Raw genomic sequence first — 26086 nt, forward strand, 5'->3', positions numbered from 1 at the left:
TCTGGTAAGCTATATTGAATTACATTCCTCAACAGAATTTGAAGTAGGAAATAAGAGTAAGGAGATAATTTCATCCTATAATGAATTTAGGCCTGGAGTTACTTTGATTAATATAAAATTCGACCCATTTCAGTGGCTTCTGACAAAATCTAAACTGCACACTGTGGACTCGAGTCGATAAACAACAGAGAGACTAAGACTGCATGAAGTTAGGAGATGGACCATCATGAAGGAATATCCTCTGTGTGTCGGGGGATGTGGGGAGTTAGCCATATCTTTGGTTCATGTTAGGTTTAATGGTTAACAAATTAAAATGCTAAAGAATGTTATGAGTGAACCTCTTTTCCCTTTTGTTTTCTGATTTTCTGCAAAACTTCTGTTCACATAGCAATCCTGGTTTTGTGCCCCATCTTCTCCTTGCCCCATGAAAGAGAATGGAGTTATCTGATTGGCAGATGCCATCCGTGGTCCGTATTTCTCAACTGAGTAGAAACTGACTCACTAAAAGGCAGCAAGCCCCAGATCAATAAGAGGCAGAAATCTTATTCTCTAGTGATACTGCAGGATCCTCTAATGAGATCCTGTAGGCAAGCTGGCCCAAGGTCTAGACTTAGACTTCATTAACATATCTAAAGTCATGTTATCCAATCGGCTTTATTAGTACTAAAGCTGACATTTCTATCTTTATCTAGGTCTGATTTCTCAAATGTATCTGAACATGAGAGGAGAGGAAAAAAGATATTATTTACTGATTCCTTCTTATGCATCCTGCATTCTCACCCTAACCTGGAGTGGCCGACACCAGAACTCTCTCCCTTTATGACAAGCAAATGCCCCGTTTACAAGTAGACAACCTTAATTTACATTGTTTTTCTCTTGGAGACAGGGTCTCACCCTGTTGCCCAGGCTCAAGTGCAGTGGCACAATTATGGCTCACTGCAGCCTTGATCTCCAGTGTTCAAGTGATCCTCCCACCTCAGCCTCCTGAGTAGCTGGGACTACAGCACATGCCACCATGCCCAGCTAATTGTTGTATTTTTTGTAGGGATGGAGTTTCACCATATTGCCCAGGCTGGTCTCAAATTCCTGGGCTCAAATGATCCTTCTGCACTGGCCTCCCAAAATGCTGAGATTTCAGGCCTGAGCCACTGTGCCCGGCCTAACTTACACTTTCTATAAAATAAAGAAACATGTAATGGGAAGGCCGGAACCTTAAATTGAAAAACACCTAAGTTAAACTGCTGGCCCATTATGATGTGACTGTGAGCACATACACCTTCTTCCCTGTATCTGTTTTCTCATTTGAAAAGTGAGGATAATATCTCTCTGGCAAGACTATTTTGAGTATTAAAATAGACATGTAATTATGTGCCTAATATCACATCTGGTGCAGTAGATATTAAGCAAAAGATTATTCTTTGTTAGCAATTATAACTACTTCTTAAGCAAAATCAAATTTTCATGATAATGTGTTGCATTTTCTAGTACATTATAGTCAATAAATGTTCATTCCTTTTACTCCAGACTTACACTCTAACGAATGAGTAATAGAATCCAAAGTAAAGAAATTTTGTTTTGTTTGTTAAATTAAAAAGTGCAATGCAAAAATCTTATAAAGAAACATCTGTCAAGTGAAATTCATAAGTTTCTTTACTTGAGAAAGTTCTAGTTTGTGCTTCATTATTTATGGTACAGGTTTAAGATCATGTTGGGTGGCCCAGCTGTTTCTCCTGTTCATTAGGAACGCTGGGCACTGCATACTTCTTAAATCCAAAAGCAATAGCTCTTTCCCTTATGATCCAGCTCAAGATGTAGTTAGAGTTAGCTGGACCAAAGGCTGAGTAGGACTATTAACCAGAACTAGGCTCTGCTTCTCCAGCTTTGCATGCTTTCTGTGGTTTATAATGTGATTGGTAACCAGGAAAGCTCAATATGACTATGTGGGTTAAAATGTATGCAAAATAATAAACAACAGCTTCAGCTTAGGAGAGGCACCATGTTTATTCAAGAATATGACATGATAGCAGTTGGCTTCTGGCATATGAGTTCTTTCTTAAGGCAAACATCAAATGACCCATGTTAGACTTTTTTTTTATTAAAGCCTCATGCACATGGTGCTTAGTTGATTTTTAGAAGAAATCAATGAGAAATGTAGGTGAGTACAGGGGAAAAGGGTAGAGAGGGTTAAAAAAAACCTATGAAAACATGAAATCAACTTTAGGGATTTTTTTAATCCTTGAAAAAGTAATATTACTGAATCAAATGATAGTCTCTCTATTAAGAAAACACTATACCACTTCTCAAAGTATTTCTTAATATGCATCTAAAGTTTCATTGTTAAAGAGTCAAATTTTCCAAATCAGAGAAAAGTATTACTTCATGGTTCCCAAGTTTCCAATCACTTAACATATGAAACATTGAAGTTTTAAGAGTCAAATGCTCCAAGTGAAAAGCATCTGTTTGATGTCGACGAGGTCCTGACAAATTCAGTGTTAAAAGACTCTTTGTGCTGCTCTTTGAAAATATATCACTTTATAATAAATCTCTGGGCTCTGACACTCTTGGTGATGAGGTTTGCTTTACAGACTTATGCAAGAGGATGTTTGCCACACCTGGCTCTTTGTGAGATGAGAGTGGCAGATTTTAAAATAGAAATTAGCATAGAGCTTCAGGTTTAGATGCTGACCTAAGTGCCTTTATTTTCTTTAAATTTGAGACATATATTATCAGAAGGGTGAAGGTTCTCTCCTCTCCTATCTGATTTTTGATTTCTCCTTTATTTCCAGAAAAGAAGTTATCAAATTATAAAGCATGCCAGGAATTAAAGCTGTTGAAAATTTAATTATGAAAGTTGTCAAGACTGTGTCATTATGGCACTAATAACTTCAGATTGTTGGTAACGATTATTTCAGCCATTGTGGGGACTGGCTTATTTGCACAGAGACTGCATTCGATGTAAAATTTTCTATTTTGTGGTTGCTTCAGGGCGTGAAGGCTATAGTAAAAATAAATAGCTTACTCAACATTGAAGAGTATTGTGATGATGAATTAGACACCTAAAATTAGCATACTTCTTTAAAATATTATATGTTCAGTATAGAACTTTTAGACACCACAGATAAACGCAAAGAAAATAAATCCTATAATCTAGAAACAAGCACTTTGGCATACACTGATTTCTCCTTACACACACAAATTCACAAACACACAGAAATATGTATATGTCTTTAAAAAAACATGTACCCCTTCACAAATTGTCCAAGATAGTGGTTGTATTCAAATAATATATTGGGACCATTATTCACTTACTCTCTCTTTTTCTCTCTGGTGTGTGTGAGAGAATGGTTGCATATTTCATTATGTGGATATCTCACAATGAAACCATCACGTAGCTAAAGAACTAGATGGTCATCAGTGACTTACATATACTCTCAGGCTTCTCATCTATTTCATTCCTTTTCCCTCCACTATCACAAGTCTCCCGGCCTTCTATCATTCTTTCCCTTTAAAAAAATAAACTATACACACACGCACACAGTATGTGGCTTATTTTCTCTGGTATTTGGCCTTTGTAAAAATGGGATCATCTTGTTAATGGCCCTCTTTCATCACTCAACATTATGTTTAAAGATTCATTCATAATACTGAATGTAATTCACTCCTGTGTAATATTCCATAGTGTTAAAATGCCACCATTTCTCCATTCTGCTATTGATGTACATTTGAGTTGTTAGGGATTTGTGTGTGTGTGTGTTGCTCTTATGAGCACCACTGACATGAATATTCTTATGCATGTCTCTTGATGTGCAAAAATATCAAGGAGTGAAAATGCTGGATCATAGGTGATGCTAATGTTTGGCTATACAATAAAATATCAAATTATTTTTCAAAGTGAATTCTATCAATTTACACTCTCATGCAAATCATACAAAAGTGCATGAAAGTACTAGTTGCTTCATATTGTTGCCCACCCTTGGTAATTTCTATCTTTTCTCATTTTAGCACTTGTTGTTTTGCTTTAGTGGTATGCACTGTGCTTTAATTAACATTTCGCTGATAACTAGTGAAACTGAACACTTATTTGCGTGTTGATAGACATTGGGATATTTACTTTTCTAAAGTGTCTGCTCATATCTTTTGTCCATTTCCCATTTGCTTTTTGTTTGTTTAATTGTAAGAATTTTAAAGATCATAATCTGAGTTTATTGTTGCACAGACTGGTGACATATAGTCTCCCATTCTTTGCTTTTTCACTCTCTTTGTGGTGTCTTGATAAATTAAGAAACTACTAATGTTAATTTAAGCCAATTTATTAATTTTCTTGTTTATGTTTAGCATCTTTTGAGTAGCACCAGTGGTGTTAAGGAAATATTTTTGTCTACACCAAAGTCACAAAGTTATTCTTCTGTGTTTAAAAGCTTAAGTATATTACTCTTTAGATCTATATTCTATATAATTTGATTTTTGTATATGGTATAGAAGGAATCAAGATTCACTTTTTTCTGTATGGATATTCAACTTACATAGAACCATTTACTGAAATGATTACCCTTTCCCTACCACACTGCCCTGTTACCCTTGTTGTAATCTTGTGACCACATATCTGTGTTTGTTTCTATTCCCTCTGTTCTTTTGGCCTATTCTTGAAGCGATGGCTCAAAGCATTAATTAGTATCATTTTATAATAAGTCTTGAGGCCTTGTGGCATAAGTCTTGGCATTGTATTTCATTTTTATTTTAACTTTTATTTTAGGTTTGAGGGTACATGTGAAGGTTTGTTACATAGGTAAACATGTGTCATGGGGATTTATTGTACATATTATTTCATCAGACATTATTTTCTTCATGTGTTAGTTTGTTAAGGATATTTTTCTCCGGCTTTATCCATGTCCCTGCAAAAGACATGATCTCATTCTTTTTATGGCTGCATAGTATTCCATGGTGTATACATACCACATTTTCTTTATCCAATCTGTCATTGATGGGTGTTTAGGTTGATTTCACGTCTTTACTATTGTGAATAGTGCTGCAATGAACATTCACATGCATGTGTCTTTATGATACAATGATTTATATTCCTCTGGATATATACCCAATAATGGGATTGCTGGGTAAAATGTTAGTTCTGCTTTTAGCTTTTTTGAGGAATCGCCATACTGCTTTCCACAATGGTTGAACGAATTTACACTCCCACCAACAGTGTATAAGTGTTGCCTTTTCTCTGCAATCTTGCCAGCATCTATTGTTTTTTGGCTTTCCAATAATAGCCATTCTGACTGGTGTGAGATAGTATCTCATTATGGCTTTGATTTTCATTTCTCTAATGATCAGAGATAGTGAATTTTTTTTCACATGCTTGTTGGCTGCATGGCTGTTTATGTCCTTTGCCCACTTTTTAATGGGGTTGTTTTTCTCATAAATTTGTTTAAGTTCCTTATAAATGCTGGGTGTTAGACCTTTGTCAGGTGCATAGTTTGCAATTTGTTCTCCCATTCTGTAGGTTTTCTGTTTATGGATGGTTTGTTTTTCTGTTTGTTTTTTGCTGTGTGGAAGCTCTTCAGTTTAATTAGTTCCCATTTGTCAATTTTTGTTTTCATTGCAATTGCTTTTGGTGTTTTTGTCATTAAATATTTGCCTGTTCCTATGTATTGCCTAGGTTGTCTTCTAGGGTTTTTATAATTTGGGGTTTTACATTTAAGTCTTTGATCCATCTTGAGTTGATTTTGCATGTGGCATAAGGAAAGGGTCCAGCTTCAATCTTCTGCATATGGCTAGCCAGTTATCCTAGCATCATTTATTAAATAGGGAGTCTTTTCCCCACTGATTTTTTTTTGTCAGCTTTGTCAAAGATCAGATGGTTGTAAATGTGCAGCCTTATTTCGGGGCTCTCTATTCTGTTTCATTGGCCTGTGTGCCTCTTTTTGTATCAGTACCATAGTGTTTTGATTACTGTAGCCTTGTAGTATAGTTGGAAGTTGCATAATGTGATGCCTCCAGCTTTGTTCTTTTGGCTTAGGATTGTGTTGTCTATTCAGGCTCCTTTTTGGTTCCATATGAATATTAAAATAGCTTTTTCTAGTTCTGTAAAGAATGTAGCTGATAGTTTGATAGGAATAGCATTGAATCTATAAATTGCTTTGGGCAGTATAGTCATTTTAGTGATATTGATTTTTCCTATCCATGAGCATGAGCTGTTTTTCCATTTCTTTGTGTCTTTTCTGATTTCTTTGAGCAGTGTTTTGTAATTCTCATTGTAGAGACCTTTCACTTCATGTGTATTCCTAGCTGTATTCCTAGATATTTTACTCTTTTTTGTGGCATTTGTGAATGGGATTGCCTTTCTGATTTGGCTGTTGGTTTGGCTGTTGTTGGTTTATAGGAATGCTACTGATTTTTGCATATTGATTTTGTATCCTGAGGCATTGCTGAAATTGCTCATCATCTGGAGGAACTTTTGGGCTGAGACTATGGGATCTTCCAGATATAGAGTCATATCATCTGCAGAGATAGTTTGACTTCCTCTCTTCCTATTTGGATGCCCTTTATTTCTTTCTCTTCCCTGATTGGTCTAGCTGGGACTTCCAATACTATGTTGAATAGAAGTGGTAGGACAGGGCATCCTTGTCTTGTCCCAGTTTTCAAGGTGAAGACTTCTGGCTTTTGCCCATTCAGTATAATGTTGGCTATAGGTTTGTCATAGATGGCTCTTATTATTTTGAGGTATGTTCCTTCGATACCTAGTTTATTGAGAGTTTATAACATGAAAGGGTGTGTTATATTTTAGCAAAAGCCTTTTTCTGTATCTATTGAGATAAGCATGTGGTTTTTGTCTTTACTTCTGTTTATGTGATGAATCACATTTATTGATTTGTGTATGTTAAATCAACCTTCCATCTCAGGGATGAAGCCTACCTGATGATGGTGGATTACTTTTTGATGTGCTGCTAGATTCAGTTTACAATAATTTTGTTGAGGATTTTTGCATCATTGTTCATCAAGGATATTAGCCTGAAGTTTTCTTTTGTTGTTGTGTCTCTGCCAGGTTTTGGTATCAAGATAATGCTGGCCTCATAGAATGAGTTGAGGAGGAGTCCCTCCTTTCCAGTTTTTTGGAACGGTTTCTGTAGGAAGGGTACCAGCTCATCTTTGTACATCTGGTACAATCTGGTTGTGAATCCGTCAGGTCCCAGGCTTCGTTTGGTTGGTAGGCTATTTATTACTGATTCAATTTCAGAGTTTCTTATTGGTCTTTTCAGGGCATAAATTTCTTCTTCCTGGCTCAGTCTTGAGAGAATGTATGTGACCATGATTTTATCCACCTCGTCTAGGTTTTCTAGTTTGTGTGCATAGAGGTGTTTGTAGTAGTTTCTGATGGTTGTATTTATTTCTGTGGGGACAGTAGTAACGTTCCCTTTGTCATTTCTAATTGTATTTATTTGGAGTTCCTCTATTATCTTTTTTAATAGTCTAGCTAGTGGCCTATTTTATTAATTTTTTTCAAGAAAACAACTCCTGGATTTATTGATCTTTTTAATAACTTTTTGTGTCTTGATTTCCTTCAGTTCAACTCTAATTTTGTATTTTTCTCCTCTGCTAGCTTAGGGGTTGATTTGTTCTTCTCTAATTCTTTCAGTTGTGCAGTTAGGTTGTTAATTGAGATCTTTCTAACTTTTTGATATAGGCATTAAGTGCTATGAATTTCCCTCTTAACACTGCCTTAGTTGTGTTCCAGAGATTCTGGTATGTTGTATCTTGGTTCTTATTATTTTCAAAGAACTTCTTGATTTCTGCCTCAATTTCATTATTTACCCAAAAGTCATTCCAGAGCATGCTGTTTAGTTTCCATATAATTGCTTGTTTTTTTAGTGATTTTCATAGTCTTTACTTCTATTTTTACTGAGCTGTGGTCCAAGACTGTGTTTAGTAGATTTCAGTTCTTTTACATTTGCTGAGGATTGTTTTATGTCTAATTATGTGGTTCGTTTTAGAGTATGTGCCATGTGGCAATGAGAAGAATGTATATTCTGTTGTTTTTGGGTGGAGAGTTCTATGAAGGTCTATCAGATCCATTTGGTCCAGTGTTGAGTTTAGGTTCTGAATATTTTTGTTAATTTTCTGCCTCAATGATTTGTCTAATACTGTCAGTGGAGTGTTGAAGTCTCCCACTATTATTGTGTGGTTGTTTATGTTGCTTTGTAGGTCTCTAAGAACTTGCTTTATGAATCTGGGTGCTCCTATGTTGGGTGCATATATAAATTTAGGATAGTTGACTCTTCTTGCTGAATTGAACCCTTTACCATTATGTAATGCCCTTCTTTGTCTTTTTGGATCTTTGTGGCTTTGAACTCTGTTTTGTCTGAAATTAAGATCGCAACCCCTGCTTTTTTCTGTTTTACATTTGCTTGGTAGGTTTTCCTCTATCCCTTTATTTTAAGCTTATGAGTGTCATTACGTTTGAGACGGATCTCTTGAAGATGGCATACCAATGGGTCTTGCTTTTTTATCCAGCTTGTCACTCTGTGCCTTTTATTTGGGGCATTTATTCCCTTTGCATTCAAGGTTTAGTACTGAATGTATGAATTTGATTTTGTCATTGTGCTGTTAGCTGGTTATTATGTTAACTTGTTTTTGTGGTTGCTTTATAGTGACACTGGTCTGTGGGTTTAAGTGTGTTTTTGTATTAGCTGGTAGTGGTCTTTTCTGTCCATATTTAGGACTCCTTTCAAGATCTCTTTAAGGCAAGTCTGGTAGTAATGAATTCCCTCAACATTTGCTTATCTGCAAAGGATCTTATTTTCCTTTCACTGAGGAAGCTTAGTTTAACTGGATATGACATTCTTTGTTGAAGACTTTTTACTTTAAGAGTTTTGAACATAGGCCCCCAGTTTCTTCCAGCCTGTAGAATTTCAGTTGAGCCGTCCACTGTTAGCCTAATGGGGTCCCCTTTGTAAGTAACCTGCCCTTTCTGTCTAGCTGCCTTTAACATTCTTTCATTTCAACCTTGGAGAAAGCTCAATTACGTGTTTTGGGGATGATCTTCTTGTGTAGAATCTTGCAGTTCTCTGTATTAACTGAATTTGGCTGTTGGCCTCTCTAGCAAGGTTGGAGAAGTTTTCATAGATGATATCATGAAATATATTTTCCAAGTTGTCTGCCCTCCCTTTAAGGGATGCCAATGATTTGTAGATTTGGTCTCTTTACATAATCCCATAGTTGTCGAACGTTTTGTTCCTTACTTTTCATTCTTTTTTATTTATTTTTGTCTGACTATCTTATTTCAGAGAACCAGACTTCACATTCTGAGTTCTTTTCCTCAGCTCGGTTTATTCTGCTATTAATTATTTCTTCCTAAAGAAAGCCTTGACTTTTATAGGCTCTTTAAATTTCTATATAAATATTGGAATCAGCAGGTATATTGACATTTTGATTGAAATTGTATTAAAATTATGGATGAATTTGGGGAGAATTGACATTATTATAATAACTTTTATTTTTTATAAATATGGTATATATACTCCATTTATTTAGAACTACTTTAATTTCTCTCAATAATGTTTTTGATTTTTTAATTGTTTTAATTTTGAATGTAGAGATCTTGTACATCTTTCATTATATTAATTCAGAAATGTCTGCTGTTCTTTATGCTCCTGTAAATGTATTTTTAAAATTCAATTTTCTATTTATTTGTTGCAAGTATATACAAATATAATGTTTTTATTGGTCTAATATGCAGCAAACTTGCTAAATTCACTTATTAATTCTAGTAGTTTGGTTATAAATCATTTGGGTTTTCTATGTTTAAAATCATTTTGTCTCCCCAAATTGCAATTTTATTTCTTCCTCTCCAATTCCTATGCCTTTGATTTCTTTTTCTTGCCTTGTTCTAAATGGGCCCCTCGTGCAATGTTGCACAGGAGTGACAAGAGTAGACAAGCCTGTCTCCATTCCTAACATCAAGACGAAATCTTTTAATAAATCACCATTAAATATGTTGTAAGTATGTTGTAGATACCCTTTATCAGATTAAGAAAGTTTCCTTTCATTCCTAGAATCTAAGAGTATTTATCATGAATAAATGTTAAATTTTATCAAAATATTTTTCTATATCTATAAAGATAACAAAGACAAAAATATCCACGATTTTGCTCCTTTTTCTTTTAGTGTGATGTTACATTGATTGAGTTTTAATTTTAAAGCCATTTTACCATCATATATGATTTCTTTTATGCATTACTAGATTAGCTTGGTTAATATTTATTTAGGAATTTTTTCATCTATTTTATAAGATACATTTGACTATAATTTTCCTTTTTGTAATATTCTCATCAGATTTTTCTATCAAAGTTTAACTGCATCATAAAGTGAGTTAGGGAAATGATCCTTTTTTCCTCTACTATAGAAGAGTTTTTATAATAACATATTTGGCGGAATTCACAAGTGAAATCATCTGGGCTTAGAGTTATCTTTTTGCGGAGATTATTGGATAACTGATTCAACTCTTAACAGGTAAAGGACTATTTTAATTTTCTATTTATCCTTGAATTAGTGCCAGGAATGTGTGGTTTTCAAGAAATGTGTACATTTTACCTAAATTTTCAGATTTAATGGAGTGTAATTATTTATAATTTTCTCTTATTATATTTTGAATATCTTTACAAAATGTAATAATGATCCCTTTTTCCAGAAGGCTAATTTGAGCTTTGCTTCTCTCTTTCTTTTCTTTCTCCCTTCCTTTCTCCTTTCTTCCTTTCTCTCTCTCTCTTTCTTTCTTTCATTAGTCTTACTAGTGCTGCTACTTTTCCTTTTGAAAGAACAAACTTTTGGCTTTCTTAATCCTTTGATTGCACTTTAGTTTTTATATTTTATTAACTGTTGCTCTAACCTTTATTATTTTCCATCCCTTCTTTACTTATGTTGAATTTGCTGATTTGTTTAGACGGATATTCAGTCATTGAATTTAAACCCTTCTTTGCAATATATGTTTGTAAGATAACGGATTCCTTCTACACATGGCTTTAGCTGCATTCTCCAAGTTGTCATATTTTACTTCAAATTATTTTTGATTTTCCACTGTGGCTATTCTTGATCCATAAGTTATCAAGAAGTATACTACTTCTTTTCCAACCTTTTGGGAATTTTCTGGCTATCTTTTTTTGTGGTTATTGCTTTTCACCTTAATTTCACTGTGGTCAAATAATACACTCCATGATTTTAAGCTTTTAAAACTCATTGAAGCTTGCCTTATGACCTAGTATATTGTAAATTTTAGTAAATATTCCATGTGCACTTAAAACAAATATGTATTTTGTTATTATCCTACTATGCCAATTGGATCATGTTTCTTAATTGTCTTTTTCAGATGTTCTGTATCCTTATGTTTTAGATCTGCTTGTTCTACTTTATCATTTGTAAAAAACTGTGTTAAAGTCTCTGCTATGATTGTTAATTTGTCTATGTTTAACATTTTTTGAAGTTTGGTTTCACACACATTGAGGCTATGTTAATAGCTGTATATATGTCTAGAATTATTGTATATAGTATTCCTGATTCATTACCTTTTTAGCATTATGAAAAATATGTTAATTGCTATAAAATCTACTTTGGTTGATTTTAAAACATCCATACCAGTTTTTGTTTTTTTTTTTTTTTGGTTACTGTTTGAATAGTATTGGGGGAACCAGCCCCCAGTGTTTTAATGTAGGTTCTTTCTATTTTCCCTAAGTGTCAGCCAGTCTGAGAAATAAAGAGAAAGAGTACAAAGAGAGGAATTTTACAGCTGGGCCACCAGGGGAGACATCACATATCGGTAGGTCTGTGATGCCCACCTGAGCCGCAAAACCAGCAAGTTTTTATTAGGGGTTTTAAAAGGGGAGGGACTGTATGAACTGGGAGTAGGTAACAAAGATCACATGCTTCTGAGGCCAATAAAGATTGCAAGGCAAAGGGCAAATCAAAGATCACAAGGCAAAGAGCAAAATTAGAATTACTGATGAGGGTCTGTGTTCAGCTGTGCACATATTGTCTTGATAAACATCTTAAACAACAGAAAACAGGGTTCAAGAGCAGAGAACTGGTCTGATCTCAATTTCACCAGGGTGGGGTTTTTCCTCACCCTAGCGAATCTGAGGGTACTGCAGGAGACCAGGGCATATTTCAGTCTTTATCTCATCCACATAAGACAGACACTCCCAGAGTGGCCATTTATAGACCTTGTCCCAGGAATGCATTCCTTCCCCAGGGTGTTAATTATTAATATTACTTGCTGGGAAAAGAATTCAGTGATATCTCTCATACTTACATGTCTGTTTATAGGCTCTCTGCAAGGAGAAAAATATGGCTCTATTCTGCTCAACCCTGCAGGCAGTCAGACCTTATGGTTGTCTTCCCTTGTTCCCTAAAATTGCTGTTATTCTGTTCGTTGTCAAGGTGCACTGATTTCATATTGTTCAAACACTCATGTTTTACAATCAGATTTCATATTGATCAAACGCACATTTTACAATCAATTTGTACAGTTAATGCAATCATCACAGGGTCCTGAGGTCATGTACATCCTCAGCTTACAAAGATAACAGGATTAAGAGATTAAAGTAATTTCTTACACCTAAGAAATTATAAGGCACAAGAAATTATAAGAGTATTGTTAGGGAAGTGATAAATGTCCATGAAATCTTCACAATTTATGTTCTTCTGCCATGGCTCCAGCCAGTCCCTCCGTTCGGGGTCCCTGACTTCCTGCAACAAATAGCATATTTTCCTCTACCTTTTTACTTTCAACTATACTATGCTCTTAAACGTAAGGTATATCTTTTGTAGGCATATTGTTAAATTTCAACAATTCAAAAATTGTTGAATCTTGACAGTTTTTATCTTTATACAGTTTTTAGTCCATTTACATTATGTCATTACTAATATATTTGGGTATAAATCGGCCATCTTCCTATTTGTTTTCTGTTTGTGCCATCTTTACTATATTACTTCTTCTTTCTTTTGGGAATGCCAAGAACCCAAAAGCAAATGCAACAAAAACAACAATAAATAGATGGGCCTTAATTAAACTAAAAAGCTTCTGCACAGCAAAAGGAATAGTCAGCAAAGTAAACAGATAACCCACAGAGTGGGAGAAAATATTCATAAACTATGTATCCAACAAAGGACTAATATTCAGAATCTACAAGGATTTCTGATCTGCAAGAAAAAAACAAATAATCCCATCAAAAAGTGGGCTAAGGACATGAACAAACAATTCTCAAAAGATACACAAATGGCTAAGAAACATATGAAAATATGCTTAACATCACTAATTATCAGGGAAATGCAAATAAAAACAACAATGCAATGCCACCTTACTCCTGCAAAAATGGCCATAATTAAAAAATAAAAAAAAATAGGTGTTGGTGTGGATGTGGTGAAAAGGGAACACTTTTACACTGCTGGTGGAAATGTAAACTAGTACAACCACTATGGAAAACAATATGGAGATTCCTTAAGAAAGTAAAAGTAGAATTACCATTTGATACAGCAATCCTACTGAGTATCTACCCTGAGGAAAAGAAGCCGTTATGTAACAAAGACACTTGGACACAAATGTTTGTTGTAGCACAATTCACAATTGCAAAAATGTAGAATCAGCCTAAATGCCCATCAACCAATGAGTGGATAAAGAAAACGTGGTATATATACATATATATATATATATATATATGTATATATACCATGGAATACTACTCAACCATATAAAGGAAAGAGATAATGGCATTTAGGCAAACTGGATGGGGTTGGAGACCATTATTCTAAGTGAATTAACTCAGGAATGGAAAAATCAAACATCGTATGTTCTCACTTATAAGTGGGAGCTAAGCTACACGGACACAAAGGCATAAGAATGATATAATGAACTTTGGAGACACGGGGGGAAGGGTTGGAGAGAAGTGAGAGATAAAAGACTATACCCTGGGTATAGGGTACACTGGTCAGGTGTTGGGCACAACAAAATTTCAGAAATCATCACTAAAGAACCTTAAGCAAATGCCATGTGTTCCCCCAAAACTATTGAAATAAAAAAATATATAAATAAATTAAGAAAAAAGAAAAATTCATGAGATTACTCAATTAAACAAAGTAGCTGATATGGATAAATGCATTTTATTTAAAAATTGAAATATTTGGAAATTAATGAATATGACTAAAAGAAGTTTGAGTAATTAAACCAACACTCATAACTTTTGAAGAATATTAACAATTTGAAGTTTATTCTCATTAAAACTCAGAAAGTGTTCTGCAAATTTATGAAATGAATGAATTTGTTTAAATTGCAAGACAAGGGTAAATTAGTACAAATCCAAAAGATAATTTTACAAAACAGCAGAATTTTTAAAAGAAGAAAAATGAAGAGGAAATATCAAAATAAAGTTTAAAGGTTAAGATGGAAGTAATAAACCTCATTTATATCAATCATTACACTGAATGTGAGTGGTTTGAATATTCCCATTAAAATCAGAGGCATTAAGATTGGTATTAAAGAAAAAAAATCTGTGTTAGAAGTCATATAATTAAAACTGAATGAGGAAAAAATTGTATTAATGGAAGGGTCAAAGAGATAAAAGGCAAATACGAAGAGAAACAAAGAGTTCCAGTATAAATATTAGATACAGTGGAATGGTTAAAAGAACTAATCAGAATAAAGAAGGAAATAATAAAGCATAAAATAGCAGTCATAACTTCAACACATCAAACAAATGGCAGTGAAATAACTAAAGAAAAGTGATTTGAATTACAAGAAATACTTGATAAAATATATCTTCTCAGAACTGGAGATACTTAGTAGGCTCCAAAAAATATTGAATATTGATACAGAGGGGTCGAATAATACAATAAAGAACTTCATTATATATATATTAAATTTTATATGTATATAAAATTTATAAATTCTATATATATAATATAGGTGGCATACACACATATATACATATATACAGACACATGCATAAATACACACACATATACATATATAAAAAAAGCCTTATAATCTCAAATAGAAAATGCCTTTCTCTGTATTTCCATGGAATATTTGCAGAAAGCCATTCAAGTTCTTGAAGACAAAAAAACCTTTAATAGTTTTTAGAAATTAGGTTCTATAGGCCAAATTTTTTATCCTAATCATTAAAAAATAATTAAAAGGTGATTCTCTTCTTTTTAAAATACTTGAGATTTCAAGCCGTTTATACTTGGAAATTTTAAAACATGCCTTTCAATAATCCTTGGGTCACAAAGAAAATATCAAAATGACATATAAACCATATCAAAAGCAATGAAAAAGATAATACTTTATATCAGATCCAAAAGACTCAGTAGTGACTGTATTCAGAGGAAAAGGCATCGCCTTAAATATCTTTTTAGAAAAGAAAGAGAAAAAATAAGCTATCATTAAACCTCACCATAAAATGATAAGAAAAGTTCAAATTTATTCAATTACATTTTTATATGGTTATTGAAATGACCTGGATGAACTTGTACATCTAAGCAGTTCAGGTGTCCAACTTTAAAATCTAAATCTCTCATCGTCCTGTGTATGATTCTTCACCACCTGGTGGTGATTGTCTGCTCAAGATTCGTTATCAGTTGGGAAGGTTTGGGGTTATATTACTAGCTAGGGCTCCAGGATAGCAACAACAATTCAAGGAATATTATAGTCAGTTGTCTTCATTTCCTGGAGCTGATCCAGCGATAATGAGCTAGCATATTACTGATATGTAATACTAAATACTAACTCATGAAGAAAAAGGCAGAGGTGGTGGTAGCACTCCTTTTAACCTTTCTTGTAGTGCTGGCTTGGTAGTGGCAAATTCTCTCAGCATTTGTTTGTCTGAAAAATACTTTATCTCTCCTTCGTTTATGAAACTTAGTTTAGCTGGATACAAAAATCTTGGCTGATAGTTATTTTGTTTGAGGAGACTGAAGATAGATCCTCAATCCCTTCTGGCTTATAGGGCTTCTGCTGAGAAATCTGCTGTTAATCTGATAGGTTTTTCGTTACAGGTTAACTGATACCTTTGCCTCACTTCATCTTGGCCTTATGTAACCTGATGATTATGTGCCTAGGTGATGATCTTTTTGCAATGAATTTCCCAGGTGTTCTTTGAGCGCCTTGTATTTGGAGGTCTGGATCTTTGGCAAGGCCGGGGAATGTTTGCTTGATTATTCCCTTGAATAAGTTTTCCAAACTTTTAGATTTCTCTTCTTTCTCAAGAACACTAATTATTCTTAGGTTTAGTCGTTTAACATAATCCCAAATTTCTCAGAGACTTTGTTTATATTTTTTTGTTCTTTCTTATTTGACTCTGTCTGATTGGGTTAATTCAAAAGCCTTGTTTTTGAGCTTTGAAGTTCTTTCTTCTACTTGTTCTAGTCTATTGTTCAAACTTTCTGGTGTAATTTGTATTTCTCTAAATGTGTCTTTCATTTCCAGAAGTTGTGATTGTTTTTTCTTTATGATATCTATTTTTCTGGAAATAATTCATCTATATCCTGTATTATTTTTTACATTTATTTAATTTGGTTTTCATCTTTCTCTGCTATCTCTTTGAGTAGTTTAATAATCAACCTTCTGAATTCTTTATCTGAGAATTCAGAGATTTCTTCTTGGTTTGGATCCATTAATCTTTTGGGGGTGTTATAAAACCTTGTTTCATCATATTACCAGAATTACTTTTCTGGTTCCTTCTGATTTGGGTACACTATTTCAGAGGAAAAGTCTGGAACTCAAGGGCTGCTGTTCTGATTCTTTTGTACAATAGGGTGATCCCTTGATGTAGTGCTCTCCCACTTTCCCTAGGGATGGGGCTTCCTGAGATCCAAACTGCTGCGATTATTATTGCTTTTCTGGGTCTAGCCACCCAGTGGGGCTACCAGGCTCTGAGCTGGTACTAGGAAATGTCTGCAAAGAGTCCTGTGATGTGATTCATCTTCAGGTCTCCCAGCTGTGGATACCAGCACCTGCTTTGGTGGAGGTGGCAGGGGAGGGAAGTAGACTCTGTGAGAGTCCTTGGTTGTAGTTATGTTTAGCGTTTTGGTTTTCTCAAATGCTAGTTATTCTAGCAGTGAAGTTGTCACATGGACAGAGTCAGGACCTCTGGTTAGCCAGGACGTTGCAGGCAGAGGAATTAGCTGTTGTTTTGTCTTTCCTTGGAGCAGGATTATTCTGTCATGAATTGCTGTAATGGTTTGAGTTGGTTGGCCTCTAGCCAGGAGGTGGCACTTTCAAGAGAGCACCAGCTGTGGCAGTAGAAGGGGGATATAAGCTTGCCCTAAGTTGGACAGGATAAGTTTCTCAGGTAATGGGCAGGGCCATAAAGCTCCCAAGAATTTATGTGTTTTGTGTTTGGCTACCAGGCAGGTAGAGGAAAACCATGCAGGTCAGACTCTCCTTGGGTCAGGCTTGCTACGTCCACTGTGGGGTATGGGGAGGTGGTTATCAGGCCAATGGAGTTATGTTTCAAGGGGGATTATGGCTGCTTCTGCTTCATTGTATATGTCACCAGGGAAGTGGGGGAAACCTAGCAGTTATAGGTGTTACCCAGCTCCCACACAGCTGGTGAGGCCAGTCTCACTTCTGCTGTGCCCCACCAATAGTGCCAAGTTTATATCCAGGCAGCCTGCATGCAGGGCTCAGATCTTGCCCCAGGTTACAAGCCTGCCACTGAGAAAGCAAGCATGGCTTTTAGGTCTCATGCCTCTCCACCTTCCGATACTGATGGCCACTGCTCCTGTGCTGGTATCTCTAGCAATTCCTGTTTGTCCCCTAGATTCTGCTCAAGAAAATTCATGCTTGAACTAAATTATTACGAAGTTCAGTGGGAAGCTTCTTTCACCCTGTGATCCCTCCCTACTTCTGATGGCTACCTTCTCCAAGGACCCCTGTGAGATAGAGTCAGGGATGGCTTCCCTGGGCTTGAGCTGGGACCTGGGAGTGCCTACAGGGCTCTTCCTGCTGCTTCTTCTGCTTTAATATTTTGCTCAGCTCCCTAAATTTGTTTCAGTTCTACGTAAGGTTAAATCTTTTTCTCATGACCTGGATTTTCAGATTCCGCAGTGGGATGTGTGTTCAGAGGCATATTTTCCCCTTTCATACTTTGGGAACTCACAGTTTTTTGGCTATCTCATGGAGTTTGCAGTGGCCAGCCACTTCTTCCGCAGGATCTGTGAACTCTTTCAGTCTTCCTGGCATGTTCCTGTGGCAGGTCTCAGAGCAAAAGTTCATAGTGTGAGTCTTCACATGCTGTCCTGTCTGTCCAACTGGGAGCTGCCCATTAGTCCTGTCTCCCATCTGCCATTTTCTCTCCTTAATCCTGATAAACTAATCCAATTTTTATTTTTTAAAAAATCACTGCTATACCTATCTCCAGTGTCAAAGTCTTTCTAGAGTAATCCTATATTCAGGTCTGTATCACACAGTACTAACCAAAGAGTCCACTCTGTTCTAACAGCTGAATATTTACTACTGGCAGTGGTATCAGAGAAAGAAAGAAAAATTAAATTTTCAGACCACCAATTGGGTGGACAGAGGAATTTAAGTATATTATCTCTTTGTTCTGGGTATATATGATAGAGTTTCTGGTCAGTTGAAAATTTTTTTTTCTGTAAAATACTTCATAATCAGCTAGAAAAATATTTGGTTAGTTATTCCTTTATATTTAATCTAGATTTACATTGCAAAGCCAAACATGAAGAATGTTTACCAACTTGGGCAAAATAACTTCATAGATTTTCCAAAGTAGACTTCATCCTCTCATGATGGCTTTATGCCTATGAATCTAGGCTGACTTTATGGTCTTTGGGTCTGTCTGTTTGTGACATGTGAAGACGAATGCTTGGTTGGGTTGGGGGTGGGCAGTCTGGAGTCATGTGTGTGGGATTCTGGACTAACCCGGGCTTTTAGATGATCTTTTCTCCTATTTGGTTTTCAAAAGGTCAGTGTGTGAGCCACTTCAATGCCTCCCACTGTTTTCCTTTGCATTTTACAATGCCTGTGTGAGCTCCAGGAGGGAGCACATTTATTGTGCATGCCATTCAGTTTAGATTCTACTAGAGCAAATGATTACAACAACTCAGAGGAAAAAGCTGGAAAATAAGTCCCTGATGTAAAACTGGTCACAGGGCCAAAACGGTAGTGCCAATTATGATTTCAGTGCCTTATACACATTACGTCGCCAACAGTCTTTTTAAAAATATCTAATTTATTTATTATTGGCTAGGGTGGGCATATTAAACAATATTTCTTCTCAAGTAGCCAGTTGTCTTTGCATTAGAAGTTAAGATTAAAAGTTTACATTCACTTGTGTTAATTTCACTTTTTTTGTTTTTAAATGAGGAGCATTAATGGCAATAAATGGGCTAAAGAAAAAGAATGCCTGGAGGGCTGACACAGCATGGGTGTGGTCCTGGGGTATATATAGCACTCTCTATAATTTTCTAGCTAATGTTCCTTTCCTTGATTACATGGATTAAAAGCAGCATGTTATTATATCTGGCAAGCCAATCACATAAATAATAAAGGCTTATTACATTCTTCTTATGTTGAAGTCACAGATCCAGGTCCCATAAAAGCCTTGACATGATGCTTGCTCCTACATTAAGGCATTTGTGAAGAGATGAATCATAAACAAGTACATGTTAACCCTGATTCAAGAGTTACACAATAATCTATTATTTAATGATTGAAAAAATTGTAAAACGGCGCTTGATTGTCAAATAAGCTGCAATTCTTTTTTCCCCAATTTAACTGAGTTATAGATGACAATTAAAAACAAGTATTTCAAAGTTCTACTATAGAATTATATTTTAATAACATTAGCATTTTGTTCTCTAGTTTAATAATCATACATTTCTATTGTAGTATAGTCAAGCATCACTTAATGACAGAGATACCTTCTGAGAAATGCATCCTTAAGATATTGTAATTGTGCAAACATCATAGAGTGTACTTTCACAAACCTAGGTGGTACAGCCTGCTACACACCTAGGCTATAAGGTATAGCCTATTGCTCCTAGGCTACAAACCTGTACAACATGGTATCGTACTGAATACTGTAGGCACTTTTAGTAAAATGGTAAATATTTGTATATCTAAACATAGCTAAACACAGAAAAAGTACAGTAAAAGTACAGTATAATAACATAAAAAATGTAAGCCAGTATAGGTCACTTAACAGGAATAAAGTTTGTGGGATGGGAAGTTGCTCTGGGGTGGCAGGTGAGTGAATGGTAAGTGAACATAAAAGCCTAGAACATTACTGTACACTACTGTAGACTTCATCAACACTCTACATTTAGGCTATATTAAGTTAATTTAAATTTTTTCTTTCTTCAATAATAAATTAAACTTTGCTAACTGTAGCTTTTTTATTTTATAAACTTTAACATTTTTTTAAATTTTTGACTCTTTTGTAATGACATTTAGTTAAAAACAAACACATTTTAGAGCTGTACAAAACTATTTTCTTTCTTTATATCCTTGTTCTATAAGCTTTTTTCTATTTTTAAAATGTATTTTTCTTGTACTTTTCAAACTCTTTTGTTAAAAACAAAGACACAAACACACACATTGGCCTAGGCCTACAGAGGATCAGGGTCATCAATATCACTGTCTTCTGCTACTACGTCTTGTCCCACTAGAAGTTCTTCAGAGGTAATAGCAAGCATGGAGCTGTCCTTTCCTATGATAACAATGCCTTCTTCTGTAATACATCCTAAAGGATATACCTGAGGTTTTTTTCACAGTTAACTTTTTTTTTAATAAGTAGGAGTATACTCTAAAATAATGATAAAAAGTATAGTGATAGTAAATACAAAAATCAGTAACAGTCATGTATTATCATCAAATATTACACACTATATATAATTGTATGTGCTATACTTTTATACAACTGGCAGCATAGTTGGTTTGTTTAGATCAGCATCACCACAAACATGTGAGTAATACGTTGCATTATAATGTTATAATGGCTGAGTCACTTAAGGATAGGGCTTGTTTAGCTGTAGTATAATCTTATGGGACCACTGTCCTATATGCAGTCCGTTGTTGATGGAAATGTCATTATGCTGTGCATGACTATATTCTCTTCAGTAAAGTACACTGATATCTTTCCCCAAAATTATGTTTTCCCTTTATTTCTTGTTCTCCAAATTGTACCACAAATTGAGAGTATGTAGAAGATAAATAGTTCTATAAAATTTGTTCCTATTACTGGTTGTGTCAGAGAAAGATCACAGTGAATTTATGGATGAATTACTTAATGCTAGAAAATACCACCCCAATTTTTCTGTGAAAATAAACCCCAGAGTTGCAGGAAAACTTCAGCTTTTGTATGGTAGATATATATGAGCATTCATAAACCCTGGATTTCTTAAGCCACTGAATCAATTCTCTTTGTGGGTTTCCAAAAACCCTAGGAGGAATCTTCTTGAGTGTCAATCATTGAAGCCAGAGAACACATGGTCATTTCAAACAAGACCACTCATTAATCCCCCCAGCAACACACTCCTTATTTATTTTTATCAAAATGTACCCATCTCATAAACTTAGTACATTTTCCCAAAGAGCTAATAACATGGAACCTCTGGCCAAAGTCAATAACAACAACAAAATATTCTGCTAGCTTTAGCCAACCCCTATCTACTCCAAGTACAGAGATTAAATAGTTCATGCCTAGATGAAGCCCCAGTAAACTCACCCTCTGCCAAACCAAGAAAGATGCAAATATGGACTGGATATTCCTCTGCTTATTTGTTAAATATAACTACGTCTGGGAAAACTAGGTCATTAATATCTCTTAAATGCCTCTCACATTTCAGGCCTGTGTTACCTTCATTAATGTTTATAGAAATCCTTTTGAGGGCTTCTGATCCATTCCTTCATTCAGTTATTCATTCACTAAATATTTGTTCCCATTTTACAGATGAGAAAACAGGCTGCTAGAGAATAAGCTTCAATAAGTAATTTGCCCAAGATCACACAGTCAGCTGATAAATTGCAGAGTAGAGATTCAAAGTTAGATAGATATGACTCCAAAATCATGTTCTTTCTATCATTCAGAGCTTCCAGCAGGATCATCTGAGGCCTCTATACGTATTTCTGAGTCCCACCCTATATCATTTAATCAGAATTTTCTTTGGTTGAGCCCGAAATCTATTTTAACAGGGGTTCCATGTGATTTTGATATGTAGCTTGGTTTAGGAACAACTAAAACACACAGTAGCTTTTCAACTCCTAACATAGTAACTGGTCCAAAACACCTTATAAGTAATAATTCATTTTACAAATATTTATTAAGCACTTACTATGTGTTAGGCATTGTTATAGGTATGGCAGTGAGCAAAACACAAAAATTCCTGCCCTCGTGGAGCTTATATTCTAGTGTGGAAATGGAGGCAGTTCACAGGGGACAGAGGAAAACCTAAGTAAGTACATTATGCATTATATTAGGAGGTGGTAAATGCTAAGAAGACAATAGAGAAGTGTAAGGTGATAAGGAGGGGTGGGGGGATAATGTATTAAATAAGGCGGTCAAGATTGTTTTCTGTGCAAAGGTGAGATTTAAAGAAGGCGAGGAATGTGCCATGCGCTTGCCTGGGTAAAATCATCAGGCAGATGGAGTAGCTAGCACAAAGGTGCTAAGGCCTCTAAACATGTACCTGGTGCATCCAAGAACCATCAAGGGGACCAATGGAGGTGGAGGAAATGGGCTGGAGAAAGAAGTGAAAGCTAAAGTCAGAAAGGTAATGAAGGGAATAGTCAGATGAGCTCATGTTGGGTCTTACAGGCTATTGTAAGTACTTTTACTTTTTCTCTGAGTGAAATGGGGAACAACTGTCAGGTACTGAGTGAAAAAGTTATATGTTCTGATAAATAAAAAACAAGTCCATATATAAAGGCTAGAAGAAGATTTTGAAAGACATATCATCCAGACTCCTCTGCAAAGGCAGGTGTTTTTCTACATTACTCTAGGGAAACTCTTGTCAATTTCACACAAAAGCAGGCTTCATTATTCTGTAGTCACTCATCCATTTAATTCACTCATTAACCAAATATTCATCAACCTCACAGTCTACCCTGTGTAAGGTGCTTGCTAAGTTCAGAAGGCTTTCTGGGATTTATAACTTGGCCCCCAAGGTGCTCATGGGCCTTAGTAGCAATACATGTGGTCCAGCTTGCCTGTGAAGTAATTGTTTATTCTCAATCTGCTTAACGTTCATTGTAATTAAACCCCCTTTCCTGTGGCTGATTGTCAAAGGTGATGTAGCCGGTCAAGGCAGTCACCTGCTCTAAGTCTGTGACAAGCCATGGCCAGCAGTCTCTTCTAAAAGTTTATTGGAAGAGAAAAGTGTTGTATGCCCAAGTGTATATGAATGGAGAGACTGGAGATTATTGTCAGAGAAGAGAGGAGTTTTTCTTCTGTGTCCTACAAGTGAAGATGGGAGAAGGATGCAGTGATGCCTGGGAATCTTGAGGAGTAGAAGGGAAGCATGTGTTAGCTAACTGCTTTTGCTTATGTAGTATATATTTTGAACTTCATTGCTAATGAATAGGGAAATGCTTCAGAGCAACAGCAAAACATGGAATGAAGGCATGCCAAAAGGAAAAACTTTTAACATAGTGACTAATTCTTTTAAAATGATTTAGCTCACAGACTTCACAGGTAGTGGAAATAGTGTGGTAATGTACAACATAGCAGAATAAGTCACCTCAGTTTTCTTATTCAGAAGGGGTAAATAGGCAGGGACCAAAAATCTGATTAATATTCTATCAATGCTTTAATGCAAGGACATTTCAATGGCCACATTTAAAAGATTTTTCTTTGTGCTTTACATCTAGGCCAATTAATCTATGCTAATATAAAACAAAAATTATTTTGTTTTATAAATACATCAGTCTAATGGACAGTTGAAACACATCCCACCTCCCCATTCACTTTTTTATTCCTAGAGATTTAAATCAATGAACTGAATTTTTATTTTTACAAGACATGTTGGCTATAAATATATCACAAATCATAATTATAAACATATCATACTATGAAGAAGTAGAAAATCTCTGATATAGAGGCATCATTTTCTAAATATATTCTTGCCATTTTACGTTGAAGAATGAAGATAAATAGGAATGTGACTAGAAATCATAAAAATACCAAACTGCTATTTCCCAGAAGTGACAAAAATATGAACGAACTTTAAAAAAAATTGTTTAGATGGGCTATAATACTTGATTGAGAGTTCAAGTCCTACTGATGACCAAATTTCTCTAAATCTCAAGCTTAGATATTGATGATGGAAAATGGGCATAAAGGCTAGATTCTGGCTGCCCTCCAGTTATTGGCAGAATCCAGGTGGAAGTGCAGTGGTGTGACACCAAAGTATCCACTTCACTCAGTCAAAGATGCCAAGTGGTGTTATTTTAGTGGTGTTGTTGTTTGGTGTCAATATCCGAGATTCATTGTCTTATGGCCATGGAAAATTAGGACGCAGGCACACACAGAGTGAAGTTCAGAGTGGAAGTTTAATAGGTGAAAGAAAGAGAAGTGCTCTCTCTGCTGAAGAGACAGGGGTCCTGAAGAAATGTGTTGCTGCTTTTGCAGTGAAATACAGAAGGTTTTATGGATGAGCTTGAGGAGGTGGTGTCTGATTTACATAGGGCATGAAAAATTGGTTGGGCCAGGTGTTCCATTTGCATAAGGCATGAAAAACTGGTTAGGACTGGGTGTGCCATGCATAGTGCACGAAAAGGCTGGCCACCCACCCTAATCTTTCATTAAGCAGATGGGTTCTCTACACGGCTGGCGCCACATTGCCTGGTTTTCTACCGTACATATGGTGACAAAGAAAAAGGAAGATGGAGTCGCTGTGCTGAACATACCTGGCTTCCAGGTAGCTCTTTCCTATTGGCACAAGCTGCCAGCATTCATCTGTGCAAGTTTCCAGCTTGCTTATCTATGTTTGCAGATAGATTTTTCAGGCTGCTCTTTGTTAGAAAAGAAATGATTTGGGGGCTGCTTTTTTTGATGTTGTTGTTAAAAAGGAAATTCACTGAGGACTCTGTTGCCTTACTATCTGCCTAAATAATTTATTTCTATCTCCTGTATCACTATGACAGGGGGAAACAAACAAGAAAAGAAGGGCTGATCCTGCCTTCTACATATGTGGTGATGCTGTTTGTTCATTTATGGGTCACTTTTTTGTATCTGAGACGGAGCTTGGCTCTTGTTGCCCAGGCTGGAGTGCAGTGGTGCGATCTCGGCTCACCGCAACCTCCACCTCCTGAGGTCTAGGGATTCTCCTGCCTCAGCCTCCGAGTAGCTGGGATTACAGGCACGCACCACCACGCCCAGCTAATTTTGTATTTTTGGTAGAGACGGGGTTTTTGTATGTTGGTCAGGCTGGTCTTGAACTCCTGACCTCAGGTGATCTGCCTGCCTCGGCCTCCCAAAGTGCTGGGATTACAGGCGTGAGCCACCTCGCCCGGCCTATTGGGCACTGTTAAGTGACATTTTTGTGAAGATTCTGTGGGACATGGAGAAACTTCCTCTTGGGAGCTAGCTTGTGCTAATCCCCACAGCACAAGTGGGAATTAATGTGTGCTCACTGATTCATGCTGGTTGAAGTGTTTTTTTTTTTTTTTCTGAAGGCTTTTTTCCTTTGACATTTTCTATTTTTCTAACTAAAAGACCGGCTCCGTGAGTTTAAAGGATTATAATCTTTTGCATTTGTATTTTTCTGCATGCATTGAAGAGCATTTAAGAATATTGCCAATTAAAAGAATATGCATTTAATTTAGAAATATGAATTTGATTAGCTAATGTTCATCTTTAACATTTTCTAAGGCTGAAATGCTAATCTCTTTGCTTTCTTATCAGACTAATGTTCAGATCACACTGGCTTGATAGCTGACTCATTTTCTCAGTGCAGTGAAGGGTGGCCACCTGCCAATAAATGATGCCTAATACCACAGTTAAATGAAAGGTAAACTTTTTTTTAACTTTACAAAAGGCATGATTCTAGTATCTTGAATGAGGTAGAACTTTGGCTATGAAGA

The 26086-nt window shown here is 35.8% G+C and overlaps 1 protein-coding gene across 16 annotated transcripts in view; it reads left to right on the forward strand.

Annotated features, from left to right (window-relative positions):
- Positions 1-26086, forward strand: part of LYPLAL1 (lysophospholipase like 1) — a 271619-nt gene that overhangs the window by 71848 nt on the left and 173685 nt on the right. For 2 of the 16 annotated variants that reach the window (XR_007078557.1, XR_001736964.3), the window contains exon 9: positions 134-26013. The exons of the other annotated variants lie outside the window; for them this stretch is intronic. The gene's annotated coding sequence lies outside the window, so the exon portion shown is untranslated. The remainder of the gene's footprint in view (positions 1-133; positions 26014-26086) is intronic. 16 annotated transcript variants of the gene reach the window in all.

Source organism: Homo sapiens, chromosome 1 (assembly GCF_000001405.40).
Source record: "Homo sapiens chromosome 1, GRCh38.p14 Primary Assembly".
Lineage (NCBI taxonomy): Eukaryota > Metazoa > Chordata > Mammalia > Primates > Hominidae > Homo > Homo sapiens.